Source organism: Homo sapiens, chromosome 12 (genome assembly GCF_000001405.40).
Source record: "Homo sapiens chromosome 12, GRCh38.p14 Primary Assembly".
Classification (NCBI taxonomy): domain Eukaryota; kingdom Metazoa; phylum Chordata; class Mammalia; order Primates; family Hominidae; genus Homo; species Homo sapiens.
The window spans coordinates 25,465,259-25,481,221 of NC_000012.12; the positions used below are offsets into that span (position 1 = coordinate 25,465,259).

A 15,963-nucleotide genomic window follows, 5' to 3' on the forward strand; every position below is an offset into this window, starting at 1 on the left:
TGAATAGTGCCGCAATAAACATACGTGTGCGTGTGTCATTATAGCAGCATGATTTATAATCCTTTGGGTATATACCCAGTAATGGGATTGCTGGGTCAAATGGTATTTCTAGTTCTAGATCCCTGAGGAATCACCACACTGACTTCCACAATGGTTGAACTAGTTTACGGTCCCACCAACAGTGTAAAAGTGTTCCTATTTCTCCACATCCTCTCCAGCATCTGTTGTTTCCTGACTTTTTAATGATTACCATTCTAACTGGTGTGAGATGGTATCTCACTGCGGTTTTGATTTGCATTTCTCTGATGGCCAGTGATGATGAGCATGTTTTCATGTGTCTTTTGGCTGCATAAATGTCTTCTTTTGAGAAGTGTCTGTTCATATCCTTCACCCACTTTTTGATGGGGCTGTTTGTTTTTTTCTTGCAAATTTGTTTGAGTTCATTGTAGATTCTAAGGGCTCTGTTCTGTTCCATTGGTCTATATCTCTGTTTTGGTACCAGTATCATGCTGTTTTGGTTACTGTAGCTTTGTAGTATAGTCTGAAGTCAGGTAGTGTGATGCCTCCAGCTTTGTTCTTTTGACTTAGGATTGACTTGGCAATGCGGGCTCTTTTTTGGTTCCATATGAACTTTAAAGTAGTTTTTTCCAATTCTGTGAAGAAAGTCATTGGTAGCTTGATGGGGATGGCATTGAATCTATAAATTACCTTGGGCAGTATGGCCATGGTGAATGTCTATACTTTCATGTGATTCTTTGAAACATTAAGGGTTTGGATTTCTCATCACTAGGGTCAACGCTTGGCACATAGTAGGTAGTCAAACATTATCTGTTGAATAACAAAATAAATAAATAACTGGTGTCCTTAACTTTACTGTGAAGTTGAAGATACGGTATTATTTTTTATTCACCAGACTAGACACTATTAAAGCTTCAAAAAACTCTACTGAGATCTATGTAGGGTTGGGTTAAAAATTCCCGCCCTGCCACAGCAACTCTCTGATCCTGCATCTTTTCCCTTCCTAGAATGACATGTACCTTGTAAGGTAGGCATGAAAGTTAAAGGAGAGGGGGTGTACGCAAAGCACACGGTAAGTTCTCAGTGAAAATGGGAGTTCTTGCCGTTCTTGGTGTGCTGAAATAATAACCATACATTGATACAGAGATTTTGTCATTCATGTGCTTTTTATATATGTATCTTATATAATCCTAACAATTTATTTCCCCCAAATAATTAATCAGCATTGTCATAAAGCAAATGAAAGTCCACAGAATCTTCCAGAATAATAAAAAAATAACTGGCTAAAATTGGAATATTTGGAGACTTGACAACAGAGCTTTGCTTGTATGGAGGTCTCTTAAACACCACCTCTATTTCTGGTTTTCAAGAAGAACATCTGAGCTTGCATGATAGACCTTGTCTCTCAAGTTTTCTACCTGTTCTTTCTCATCTAGTTGTGTGTGCCAAAAACTATTTCTCACACACTCTCCTTTGTACTCACCTTTTATAATGTGAGGCCTAAAGTTAATAGTATGTGCTGTCTTGACATCTGGTAAAATTGGGAAGGCCTTGAATGGCCTAACTGCAAGTTCTCCTCCCTACTCTCCTCTCACAGATGACATCCCCCCAGCCAAACAACCCTCCTTTTTGAGGGGACCAGGTGCAGTTCCTATTTAACCCTGAGTAGTGGGTTTTAATTTCCTCCTAAGCAGTTTTTCAAACAAGCCAATTACATCCTCCTGTGGGAACCAGGAGGCACCACACCCTCTTGACACTACAAAGCCTGCCTCTCACAGCCCCTGGTTATTCATTCTGTTCCCGATTGCAACCCCTGTGTGGCCCTGAATGGTGTGCTGTGTCCTCCTCCCCTAGGCTGGGGTATATGTGACTAATGAACTGCTGTTGGTCTCATCTGTCCAATGCTTAGTGTCGTGTGTTTGGCCATCTTCCTAACCCTAAGGGGGAATCTCTCTGTCACTGATAGGATGAATAGAAACCCATTCAAACCCACTATGCCTCCTACTTGCATTGCCGCTCCCAGTCTTTCAGTTCTTATAGTGAAATGTCAAGGCAGTGCCTCCAGATTCACTCCATTGAACACGAAATTTAGGTTAAAGAGTGTGAAGGGGAGGAATGGGAGGAAGAAATATGGCATTTAAAAATGTGCTTGCTAATACTTTGAAAACTCTGGAGGTTTAAAGATAGGTTCCTATAAGAGATCAGGGAGGAGGGAATAAGAAGTGAGACCTGGTTTCTCTTGCTCTGGCTTTGCCATATGTTGGGAGAGGATAACCTGAAGTTTGGCAGACAGGATGCTCTTCCTCTTCACTCTATTCTTCTCTTCATTCGCACCCATCAGGGGAAGGAGTCTTTAAACCCCATTATATATCCAAATTATGCTGTGAGATGTGGCCGGTAATTGGGAAGAAGAAACCTTGCTTGTTTAATGACCTCTTTGGTCAAGGCTCCCAATAGGAATATTGGAATCCACTGTTACATCCCAAAATAGAACCAGAAGCAATGGTCTGGTTGTCTTGAAGAGCTAGTAGGTAGGAGGGACGGAGCCAGAGTCTTTGGGTGAGAAAAGGGAGGGAAAAACAGAAGTATCAGTACAGCATCTGTCCTATTGGAACTGATCTATTTAGGGGTATAAAATATAATTTTTACCACATATATAAATAATAAGAATATAATTAAATTAAAAAATATGATGTTTCTGTCTATAGTGTATTTCCTCATAAAATTCCTAGTTTTAGACACATTTGATTGAATACTTTCAGTTAAAAGGAGAATTTTAGATGAATCTGGGAACTTTTCATAGGTAGCTGAATTTATAGTTTTCCTGCTAGCTGGTAAGATGTGTAATTGTCTCAGCTGGCAAAGATCTTCTTTCACCTTGACTAAGAATGGTCTTTCCTAAGATAATGAGAGAGAATTCTACTAATATTCATCGAACAGTCTGGGAACCATACAAATAATACACCAGGCTCTATGCTAAGTACTTGCTTCCACGTGTTAACCCATTTAGTCCCCATAAAACCCTACAAGACAGACGGTGTCACTGGTTGTTACTTAACTTCTCTGGGCCCCATCTATAAAATGGGTGGAGTCACAGTACCCATCTCATTGAAGTTCTTGTGAAAACGAAGTGACAGAATCAATGTAAAGCACGTCACCCAATTCCTAGTACACACTAATTGCTAAAAACATTAGCAAAAAAAAGCTACACTAATTTTATTCCTGACTATTCATGGGAAGTGTTCACAGATGTTAAAAATATTTGAAATTTTTAAAGCACTCAAAATGTTACACATTTCATCACTGGGCCATGATTTGAGCACAAGCTTGGATCAGTACCTGTTACAGCTAGGTCATCTCTCAGACCACAGAGGTGTGTTGTGTTTTCTGGCCCACGGCACAGGGTAGGCAGTGCAGTATTTGGGCTAGCACAGGGGCTAAGACAAGGACTGTGGAGCCAGATTGCCGGCCGTTTAGTAGCTGAGTAACCTTCGGCATTTACTTAAACTTCCTGCGCCTCAGTTTTTGTAAAATGGAGAGAACTAGTACAAACTTCAGAGGATGGTCATGAGGATGAAAGCAAACAGTGCATGTAAAGTGTGCCTGGCATGTAATGAGCACTTATAAATGGTAGTTATGACACCTCGATGAACAGCATTTGAGTAGATCCTAATACAAATACTAACAAGGCATGAGACCCGGAGTTCTCACCATTATCATGTAGAGAAGCCTTTGATAAGAATGGGTTTGGGTGTTTAAAGAGCCAGCATGTATTATTTGCAAGGCATCATGTTAGCACTTTACCCATTTTATTTAATCTTCATACTAATGCTGTATGATAGGCACTATTGTTCTTCCTATTTTACAGATGAGGAAACTGAGGCACAGAAAGGTTAAGCACCCATTACTCCAAGCAGTCAGCATGACTCATTACACTGAAGGGCCATACAAATGTGGTTTAGGGTACAGGGTACAGCGCTCACTCAGCGATAGTGTTCACATGCTCAATGCTGGGCCGTTGATCAGGAGGCAGCAGCCTGGTCTTGGAGGGCAGAGGGCATGCTAAGCCCTTGCAAATTCATTTGTTTGTTAGCAGAGAGGGCCAGATGTGGTGGTGACGGTCTGCGGGCACATTTCTTACCCGTTCGCTGAGAAGCCACTGTCTCAAGAGGCCACCTCACCGAGCCTATTAGCTAAGGAGATACCAGAGAAAGTCTTTCCCAAACTGTGGGTACCTGGCCTTAGGGTGAACTGAAAAAAATCAAGGGAGAAAGGGATGGATCATGTTTCCTAGAGTAACATGCCTCCCAGTACAACACTGAGATGAGTCAGTGATGGCTTGTTTCTGCCCAGAAATATCCATCCTACCACCTATCTAAAAACCTCTCTATTTCCAGAATTCCCCGTTACAAAGGGAAGGACACAGGGGCCATGTTTAACTATCTTCAGTTAATCCCTCAGAGTAGCTGCTTTATGTATATTTGCTGAAAACATCAAATTTAATGTCATCCAGCTGAGGACAACAAAGGTAACAAGGATGGGAAACTAAAGGGTGTTTGTGGTTGGGGATAGGGTGGTGTGAGAGAAAGGATGGGGATGGGGAAGGAGGAAATCTGAGAGGGAAATTGGTTGAGCACCAAAGACAGTCCCGCTGGCTTCCAATTTCTCTTAAGCAGCCTTGGAAATGGCATTCAGGAGGACCTCGTGATTTCTTGGCATGTGAGTTGTACAACACTGACCTTAGAAGAGGAGTATTGTTTCTTTCATCTTTAAAAACACTTTACTTTCTATTCAGCAGCTGTCTTATTGCAATTTGAGTACCCATCAGTCAAGTAGACATTAAGTGGTTTCTTATATAAATACTTACAGAGTTCTGACTTTGCAAGCATCTCTGAAAAGCATTCTGTTCCTTCTAAGTTCTTTGAAATTTTCTTTTGGCTCCACCAAGTGTATACAGACATATCCAGAGATGGAAACTGTTCCTGTGCAAATTAACTTCACAATCACAAAGTTAGGACAAAAGATAATGCTCAAAATTCACTACTGGAAGCCCTCTGGAGGATCATCACCAGGCAACATGATTGGGAAATTTCTTTTGCTATAAATTATTGACCTCGTTTAGAAGAGAAACTTTAAGAACTGTTTTTCTTGACTTAAAATGGTCTTGATAAAATGGTGTCCCGGCTCAAGCTATCCTCCCGCTTCCACCTCCAGAGTAGCTGGGACTACAGGCGCGCACCACCATGCCCAGCTAATTCTCTTTTTTTTTTTTTTTTTTTTTTTTGTAGAGACGGGGTTTTGCCTTATTGCCCAGGCTGGTCTCAAACTCCTGGGCTCAAGCGATCTGCCTGCCTCCACTTCCCAAAGTGCTGGGATTACAGGCGGGATCCACCGTACCCCATTAACAAATTTTGTTCAGATTTTTTTCTGTATTCTTATCTTTGTCTCTATTGATCTACCAATTGATCGATGAGCACAATACCATTTTGAGATATTAATAACTTTTTATTATGCATTTTATTGAAGTATCGTATATAGACAGAAAAGTACATAAATCACAAGTATACTAAATGTGTTTCTGTAAGCTGAACACACTTGTGTGCCTAATACCCGGCTTAAGAAACAAAACATTACCAGCACTGGTGTGTATCTCCTCTGAATTTACTTGTACCCCAAGGCCCTTTCTTCACCTCAAGCATGTAGGATTTTCCACCTTCATGCCTTGGGAAAAGGAGACATTAGCAGATGTAGAAAAAAAGAGCAGATGTAGAAAATAAGCCAAGGGATTTGGAAGAACATGAATCAGTTTGAGCTGATATTTTGAACCTTAAGTCTTGATAAAGGATTCTTGTTGAGGGGGAGGAGAGAAGACAATAAGGAAATGGTGCATAGACATTGGTGAGTCTCCCAGAAGTGCCATTGGTCCTGCTTTAAGTTCAGAGATTCTGTAAGAGAAGCTGTGGATATGAATTTTGATGCATATGGAAATATTTCCAAATCTTCCTACTTCAATAGGGTGAAGGCCTGAACTCTTGTTCAATTCAGCCAGAGCAGCCCCCAGTGTTCCACTTCTCAATGAAGCCTTCCATGTCCTAATGTGCACATCTCAGACATGCAGGTGACTCGGATGCAGACGGTCCTTGGTTCTCACTTGCAGAAACGTAAGTATAGGTTTTTGTCCATGCCATGACCATGGTTCTCAGGCTTGTCTGTACATCAGAATTACCTGAGGATCTTATTAAAAACAGATTCCTAGGACCAGCAGCTGACTTTTATCAGGTCTGGCAATCCGAATGTTCACCAACTCCCTAAGTGATTATTATACACCAGTCTGGCATCCATTGAAGGGTTAGATTTGGGATGGCTCGTCCCTATGGCCTACGAACTGTATCGTTGTATGAGGGCAAAGATTCAGTGCAGTGCTGTCCAAGTGACCCAGCAGATCCCATCTGATGTTGATGGGAGGAGAGGAGAAGGTGTTGATGGGAGGCGAGAAGCTCAGATGGTAAGGCTCCTTACCTGCCTCTTATTCAACCAGACCAGTCCCTTCTACCTAACGGATACTTGCAGAAAGGATTCCAAGGTCAAGAGAGGTTTTCAAATCACTCTCTATGCCACAATACCAACCATTATCAACCATACCTTTTGCTCTGTCATTTGTTTTATCAGCAGAGGAATTTATGTGAGGATAAGGGCACCCCCTTTGTAGGCCAAAGTCCTCTCTTATTCCCTGAAGAAGATCAGCACTATCAGCTCTGATACTGCTGATCTCTTCTTTTTAGCACCATGCCAGCATCTTCAGGCCTCCTGAGGCTCCTAAGAGATGCTGTCACGGATTAGATTATGTCCTTTGATTACAAGGTCCCCTGAGCATGGATGTGGAGGCTTTTAGAATTCTGTTGTCAATTATTAAAAATGTAGTAAGGGTCCAGAGAACACTTACAATTAAAAAAGACCTTTAAAAGCCACAGTTATAACAGAGCTGTATGTATAATTTTTTTTAAACCCCTCTAGGGGAGCTACTCTAAAGTGAGAACTCCAAGTGCAATGGACTGTTAGGATAATATATAAGCCATTGATCAGTTACATTTAGAATATGTTCTGCTAAAGCCAGCACCTGGCACCACTAATGATGGGGCATGTCTTCTTGTTTAGGGCAGCTGCTGACTGGGATGAAAGTACAATTGAGACTCCATGTGTGTCAATGGGAGCAAATGGAAAAAGGAGAAACAAGATAGAGCAAAAACTGAGAATTTCAGACCCCCTCAAAACAATCCTTCAAATTTGATACTGAAGGATAAGTTAGAGAGGATACAAAAGAACTCACAGGAGCCAGGTGATTTTCATTCAAAATATGGAACTGGCCAGCAAAAACAAAGGATGATGAGGTCATCATTCTGTCATTCAAAATCCTGGTACTGGCTGTAGGGTAAGATGGTGTCTTAGTCTGTTTTGTGCTGGTATAACAGAATACCTGGGACTAGATAATTTATAATTAACAGAAATTTATTGGCTTATAGTTCTGAAGGTTGGAAAGTCTAATACTAAGGTGTCAGCATCTGGCCAGGGCCTTCTTGCTGCATCAGAACATAGTGGAAGGCAAAAATGTGAGAGTGCAAGAGAGCAAACCCATTTTCAAAAGCTTTTTAAAATAATGTTTTTACTCAATTCATGAGCGCAGAGCCCTCATCACCTAAACACCCACCATTAGGCCCCATTTGCCAACTCTGTTGTATTGGGGATTAAATTTCCAACACATGAATTCTGAGGGACACATTTGGACTATAGCAGGTGAGGAACATTCTAACCTCTCAACTGGATTTAAGAAGCAAGGATAGGAAAATCAGAATCAGGTGGTGTTTTGTTTTTAAATTTTCTTTTTTCCAAGTAAACTTCGGTGGTTTTTTTTTGAGACATCGTCTTGCTTTTTCACCCAGGCTGGAGTGCAGTGGCTCAAACACAGCTCACTGCAGTCTTGACCTCCTGGGCTCAAGCCCCTCCCACCTTAGCCTCCTGAGTAGCTGAGACTAACCATGCTTGGCTAACTTTTTTTTAGTTTTTGTTGAGGCAAAGCCTCACCTTGTTGCCCAGGCTGGCGTCAAACCCCTGGTATCAAGCAATTCTCCCTCTTCAGCCTCTCAAAGTGCTGGCATTACAGGTGTGAACCACCACATCCAGCTCCAAAGTGGACTTCTTACTGAAGAATATTGTACATACATGAAAGTACTAAATCATGAATGAATGGCTAGGTGAATTTTGATAAAGCAAACTTGTCATTTTACAAAGCGAGCACAAGATGATAAGACAGGACATTCACAGTTCCTCAGAGGCCCCATCTTGCCTTCTGATCACTGCTTCCCAGGAAGGAGACTCCTATTCTAATTACTAACACAACAAATTCATTTTGCTTATTTCGAGCTTATATAAATGGATCCAGACAGTATATACTTTAAAAATCTTCTTTAGCATTATACTGTCATTCATCTATGTATTTGTGTGCAGCTGTTCATTTTCATTACTGTAGAGTGTTCCAACATATGAACACACCACACATCCTCTATTCTGTTGTCAGACCATTTAGCTATTCTCAATCTTTTTCTATCACAGATAATGCTACTATAAACTTATGCATTTTTAAAATAATTTTTATCCTTTATATTATTATAAAAAGAATTCAACTACTTTTATTGAAGGAGAAAATGTAGAACAAACAGCAAAATATTTTCTTAGAACTAGGAGCCACATTACAGCAATACTATTTTTTCTATAATAATAAAATATAATTAGCATACATATTATTGATTAATCATGATCTTTTTTACATTTGAAATAGTGGTAGAAACCCACAAACACACGATTAAGGGACTGAGAAAGTATTAAGTGGCAATACAATTACATTTATGGGTGGAGCTTCTTTAGTTGAGAAGACAAATGTATAATGTAGTTTTCTGCTTTCCTTATTGTCTATAATCTCAGTGATCTTTTCATGATAGGAAATTCTTAAACCAATTCATAATACGTTATAACTGTATCTTTTTTTTTTTTTGAGACGGAGTTTCGCTCTTGTTGCCCATGCTGGAGTGCAACCTCTGCCTCCCGGGTTCAAGCGATTCTCCTGCCTCAGCCCCCCGAGTATCTGGGATTACAGCCACCCACCACCACGCCCAGCTAAATTTTTTTGTGTGTATTTTTAATAGAGATGGGGTTTCACCATGTTAGCCAGGCTGATCTCAAACTCCTGACCTCAGGCAATCCACTCACCTCGGCCTCCCAAAATGCTGGGATTACAGGCGTGAGCCACCGTGCCTGGCCTATAACTATATCTTAAAGTTTCATTCGAAACTGTTATTTCCCCATGTGTGTGTTCTAATTCTGGTCTTGTCTTTATAAGCACATAATGAATGAGTATTAACTCACTGCTGTTTCTCCCCATTCTCTGTAACTTGCAGGTGATCTCCGTGTCTCAGGGTTAAGCTCAGCTCCACATGACAAAACGTCAATATGGAGCAAACAAAAAAATAACTGGTTTAAACACAACAGAAATGTATGTTTCTTAAGCAGTCTAGGGATATAATATGATATCTTAAAGGTAATATCAGAGATACAAGCTTTTATCTTTCTTATCTGTCATCTTAAGCACATGGCTTCCATTTCTGTGGCCATTTTGTGGCTCGGCATGGTTGTTAATGATCTAGCTGACAGCATATTCATGTTACAAGCTAGAAGCAGGAGGGAAGAAAGAAGGGCATGCCACCTCTGTCTAGAAAGATTTCCTGAAAGTCACATGTACTTCCATTTACATCTCACGGGCCAGAATTTTATTGGGAAATATGGCCACCCCATATGAATTGCAGCTATATTGAGGAATGGGAAAATTGGTAGAAGTAGGCATTAAAAATGTTTGCCACATCTTTCAAGGCCCCAGGAAAATTCTGGATTTTGCTCAGGGGTGTTGGGCCAATGCTGTGTAGCAATGTGATGGATACCAGAGAAAGACACAGAAGGCTGCAGAGATATAACTGTATCTGAGAAATACCAGGTGTTAGGCCTTACCTGGCATAAGGAACTCTAGATTACTCCTGTAGGGGCACCTTCCTTAGTGCCATGCTCTTTCAAAATACAAAAGATAAGTGAAGGGAAAAGAAATACCTTACTTTGATTAGGAGCATGAAGAGACAATGTGTTTTTGTTTGTAGATTGGTTTTGCTTTTGCCAGTGAGGCAAAGAAAGACAATAGAACCACCTCTGCGGACTTTTATTAATTAAAAAATATATATCTGGCTAAGTTGGTGTTAAATATGGTCCTTTCTGAAGGAAGGAGTATTAACTAGATTACATTGTAATGGATTTTTAAATCTAGTAGGAGAAAAGAAATCTAAGTTTAAATAGCTCTTACTGGATTTTTAAAATATTTAGCAAATGACTATTATTTATTAGTATTATATAGTGTTCTCACATTGTAAAAACTTAAAAAAAAAACAAAACATTTAAATTTATTTGAAATATAGCTCTCACTGTATATATATCCAGAAAACAATTTTTGAATATTTTCTCTAAACTGGCTTGGGAATTCTGTACTATTCATTTCTTATATAATTTGTTTGGTGTACTTATAACAACAAGAAGAACAAAAACAATAATAAAATCGTGTTACCCTTTAAGTAAAAATGAGCATGTAGGTTGAGAACAATCTGAAAAAATCAGGGAACAACATTACTTACTCCAGCTTTGGGAATATGCATGGATCCGGATCCCATAATGGAATCAAAACCTCCACTGAATATTTAATGAAATGTGGCACAGTTATGGAAAAAAGAGATTTATCAGTCAATGTAAAATGGTTAAACAATTGCACGTGCTCTTCTTTTGTGAGTTCTGTACCCAAAATAACTTTGTTTACAAAAAGAGAAATCTAAGGCAAATAGCAATTTTATCCATTGAATAATACTAACCATCTGCTTGTTTTCTGCAGGGATTTGGAAGGCAGGAGTGGTAGGACTTGTGATTTCATCAAGCATCTATAATTCACCAATTCTACAGCAATACAAATTTTGGATCCTTTTTCCATATAGAAATGTGATGTCTTCACCCTCTCATGGAATAGCAGGGAGGTTGCAGAGCAGGCCTCAGGGATTTGAGTTCTCTTTTGCTTTTCTAGTAGCTGGTTGAGGGTGGACTAGATTACTAGTAATTATACAAAATGAGAGTGATCTGTTATTGAGCTCTATGTGTCAGACTATGCTAAATTCTTTACACTACTGTCTCAATTAATTTAATCCATACCATAGTTCTATGAGGTACATGTGCTTACTCTCTTCATTTTACAGATAAAGAAATCAAAGAAGAAAGAGATTGAAACTGACCAAAGGTTGCATGGATGCTTGGGTTGAATTGGTAGAACTGAGAGCTCTAGACTAAAGGATTTCTATGATTTTCCCCAGTTTTGACCTTGACTTCTAGAGTTTTTTTAATGTGGATATTTAAACCATGTTGGAAAGTCATCTATGAGCACACTGGGCAGAACTCCTGACTGAAAGCAGCCCTGGATAACTGACTAATGGAATAATGTCCTCAGTGTTTATGTTGTTGGAATTATTTACAGAAATAATTTTTTAAAATCTCCCAGGGTCTCCAGGACAAATCGAATAGATAGCCGAGGTGCAGCTACTGCCATGGCCAGGGTAATCCAGGGCCATTATCACCACACCAAGGTGAGTTTCCTGAGGCAGCGTGACCCATATTCCCTCTGTGCCCATCCCCAGACCCTTGGAGAATCAACACATGGGCCTCACGGAATCCATTAACCTCCTGAAAGCAGATGAGACATTTGAATGTAGGCTATATGAACGTTTTTCTGAGAGGAAACTGACAGCTTTTCTATGGAGAACTATTACATTATTATTATTTTTTAAAAGAAGTTTGTCAATGAAGAGAGAATAAGATGGTAAAGACATCTTGAAGGGAAATTGGGGCTGACAGAAAGTTTATTTTAACATACGAAGGAGCTGGGGACATCTTTGACTTCAGGGGAAAAAGGCGACAGAGAGAGGGAGAGAGAGAGAAAGTGAAGAAATAAGAGGAAAAGAGTCAATAGAACATTGTTCTAGTGGGGATTGGTGGGGATAAAATCGGTCGTAGAAAGCAACCGTAGAAAGTGACTCTTTCCCCTGAGAGAAAGGAGAGGATGGTGAAGATGGAGGATAATAGTTGGAAGGAAGAAAAATTGAAAGGTAAGTTACTGGTTAAGAGTAAGAGATCAGGGATGAGATTAAAGTCAGGAGAAAAGTAGACAAGTTTGGAAAAGCTGTCTTGAGGGATGCCACCAGCATAAGGAGCCAGCTGGGATGGAAGAACAAAGATTTGTTTTTTTCCTGGTGGAGTGACCCAAACTTTCATTCCTGAAGGGCCTGGGTGATTTGTAGTTCTGCCTGGATTGGGCTATTGTAGTTTCCCATTGACCTTTATCACAGGGCATGGTAATAGTAAGGGATACCATATATATACATATATATGCAGGGATTTGGAAGCAAGAGTGGTAGGACTCTTATTATTATTAAAACTTATTAAGTTTTAAGTCACACGATCACAAGGTCCCACAATATAGGCTGTCTGGAGGCTGACAAGCAAGGAAAGCCAGTCTGAGTTCCAAAACTGAAGAACTTGGAGTCCGATATTTGAGGGCAGGAAGCATCCAGCGCAGGATAAAGATGTAGGCTGGAAGGCTAGGCCAGTCTGTCTTTTCACATTTTTCTGCCTGCTTATATTCTAGCCGTACTGGCAGCTGATTAGATTGTGCCCACCCACCCAGATTAAGGGTGGGTTTGCCTTTCCCAGCCCACTGACTCAAATGTTAATCTCCTTTGGCAACACCCTCACAGACATACCCAGGATCAATACTTCAATCCAATCAAGTTGACACTCAGTATTAACCATCACAAGTCCACCCTTTGTCAACTTGAACCCATACACATCTCCTGAGATCATACATAATCTTCAAATAAAGACAATAATAAGGTCATAATTACACCTAAGATAATATAACTATCCTTCATACAACCGGAAATGCACCAATCCCCAACCCAAATACTATTACATAAAGTTAACAATACTTTATGCTGATGTGATGTGCTGATGTGAAGTCAATAAATCTTACATGATAAAAGAGAAAGGAAATAAAATGAAGATATTTTCTTAGTACAAGTGTATACATGCACAAACAAGTTTTTAACAAAAGAAGGTGGCTCATGCCAGTAATCCTAGCACTTTGGGAAGCCGAGGTGGGCGAATCACCTGAGGTCAGGAGTTCGAGACCATCCTGGCCAACATGGTGAAACTCTATCCCACTAAAAAGTACAAAAATTAGCCCGGTGTGTTCGTGGGTACCGTGTAATCCCAGCTACTTGGGAGGCTGAGGCAGGAGAATCACTTCAACCTGGGAGGCGGAGGTTGCAGTGAGCCGAGACTGTGCCATTGCACTCCAGTCTGGGCAACAAGAGCGAAACTCTGTCTCAAGAAAAAAAAAGCTGGTATTGATGACTACCTTCTTCTACTACCCCTTCTGTATTCCCTTTGCCTTCAGCAAACATCTCAGCAGGTCATGATTTTTTTTTTTTCTTGGTGGAATGACCCAAACTTTCATTCCTAAAGGGTCTGGGCCATTTGTAGTCCTACCTGGATTGAGCTGTTGTGGTTTCCCATTGACCTTAATCACAGGGCATGGTAATACTAAGAGATGCCCTAAGGGATCTCCTGTATTCCATGAGTACTCTTCCCTACCTCTGTTGTGGAGTAGTAAACTGATTTCATTTTGATAGCTCGAGTCAATCACCCCAGCCAACACTGTAACTCCCTTCTTAGCCTGTTGACTTAAAGGTAGGAGGAGCCCAAAGTGTACAGGTGGCAATCTTAACTTCCAGTTTAATGGAATCGCTGTTGTGTCTACTGGTGGAAGCATTCCTCCTTCTGGAACTAAGACCTCTAGACTAGCAGAACGTATTGTCGTGGGAATAGGAATCAAAAATTTTGCTAGTGGATCACTAGGGGTGATGGTAAGTGGTACTACTTCTACTTCTACCCCTTGATTCCTAGCCCTGTGAATCCTGGCTATGGGAGAAACAGTACCATATATTAGATGCTGATTCAGAACATACACAGCCTTCTGGAGAACTTTGCCCTAGCCCTGCAAAGTATTGTCATGTAGTTGGCATTGTGATTGTGACTTCAAAAGGCCATTCCACTGTTTTATCAATCCAGCTGCTTCAGGATGATGGGGAACATGGTAAGACCAGTGAATTCCATGAGCATGAGCCCACTGCCGCACTTCTTTAGCCGTAAAGTGAGTGCCTTGGTCAGAGGCAATGCTGTGTGGAATACCATGACGGTGGATAAGGCCTTCCAATGAGTCCACAGATGGTAGTCTTGGCAGAAGTGTTATGTGCAGGATAGGCAAACTCATATCTGGAGTAAGTGTCTATTCCAGTGAAGACAAATCGCTGCCCTTTTCATGATAGAAGAGGTCCAATATAATCAACTTACCACCAAGTAGCTGGCTGATCCCCTGAGGAATGGTGCCATATCAAGGGCTCAATGTTGGTCTCTCCTGCTGGCAAATTGGGCACTCAGCAGTGGCCGTAGCCATGTCAGCCTTGGCGAGTGGAAGTCCATGTTGCTGAGCCCATGCATAACCTCCATCCCTGCCACCATGACAACTTTGTTCACAGGACCATTGGGCAATGACAGGGGTGGCTGGGGAAAGAGGCTGAGTGGTGTCCACAGAGTGCATCCTATCCACTTGATTATTAAAATCCTCCTCTGCTGAGGTCACCCAATGGTGAGCACTCACGTACAATACAAATACCTTCACACTCAGATTAAATAGTTCCTATCCAGACTTATTCACACCTTCTTCTACATGTGTGGCTGCCACACATGGTTGTATGGTTTGTGCAGTGTGCAACTTGAGGGCATGCACTCCCATTGTAGGCATGGTGCATTTGTATTTTATCATGATTTTCTGGCAGATGGCAGTAAAGCATCTTGTTCTCACAACATCAGTATGCCACAGCTTTCCAGTGCTGAAAGTAGTGTCTTGAAGGGACACTTGAGCCTTTCTCAAACTTGCAGAAAGGTGTTCTGTGGCCTAGCAGCAGCCCTAGGTGCAGAGGGATAGCAGAAATAATGTAGTAGGTGGAAGGATGCAAGGCGGCTCCTGATCCTATGCTGTAGTCAAAAAGGTCAATCCTCTGTCTGCTCAATAGACCTGGGCTTTTCTGTCTTGGCCAATGCAGATCATCTTACTTTGTGCTGCTCTTTCCAAATACCAAGGATGGTTAAAAACCTAGACCCATTCTCCCTTTATCCTAAAATCCTTTCCAGAATTGAATGCCTGATTATTTTTCTCTGCTAAGTTTATTTGCCAGCACCTTATCTGCTTCTAACAAGGCACTACCTTGTATTAATATTACTATATTTTCAGATGCATATGTCTTTATAGTCCCTAAATAATTTGAAATCCACAGATAACAGCAAAGCTAGTTGAGCCAACAAGGCACTATTGATCCATGTGGGTCAACCATGAGGTAAAGATACCCTATCTCACAGGTGGGCCTGTCTAGCTTGCTGTCCAAATAACTGAGGCCTATACTATTCCGTAAAGTCAAGAATCTTTAGGCATCAAGGTAATTTATTTCACAAGGCTCTACAAGACCTGCTCTACTGGTTGCCTCTCTGATCTACTCTCCTCCCATACTCACTGGTCCCAGTTATACCCCCCTCTTATTCCTCCCACCACAGAGTCTTTGGGCTTGCCATTTCTACTGCTGAACTCTTCACTCCACATCCCACGTGGCTTGTTCCCTTGCCTTCTTCAGTACTGGCTGACATGTCACCTTCTTAGTGACACCTTCCTTGTCCATCCTATTTGAATCAAAGTAAACCTCCTTCAGC

The 15,963-nt window shown here is 40.9% G+C and overlaps 1 protein-coding gene and 1 long non-coding RNA gene across 5 annotated transcripts in view; both read right to left on the minus strand.

Annotated features, from left to right (window-relative positions):
* Positions 1–689: 689 nt before the first annotated feature.
* LOC124902900 (uncharacterized) lies at positions 690–5,234 on the minus strand. The gene is made up of 3 exons (XR_007063247.1): positions 4,886–5,234; positions 2,248–2,571; positions 690–828 (listed from the first exon to the last, which is right to left on the minus strand). It is a non-coding gene; the product is annotated as an uncharacterized LOC124902900 (long non-coding RNA).
* Positions 5,235–10,823: 5,589 nt separating this feature from the next.
* The window catches only part of LMNTD1 (lamin tail domain containing 1), a 172,497-nt gene continuing 167,357 nt past the window's right edge, over positions 10,824–15,963 (minus strand). For all 4 annotated transcript variants that reach the window (XM_011520575.2, NM_001256266.1, NM_152590.3 and 1 more), the window contains one exon: positions 10,824–11,202. The gene's annotated coding sequence lies outside the window, so the exon portion shown is untranslated. The remainder of the gene's footprint in view (positions 11,203–15,963) is intronic.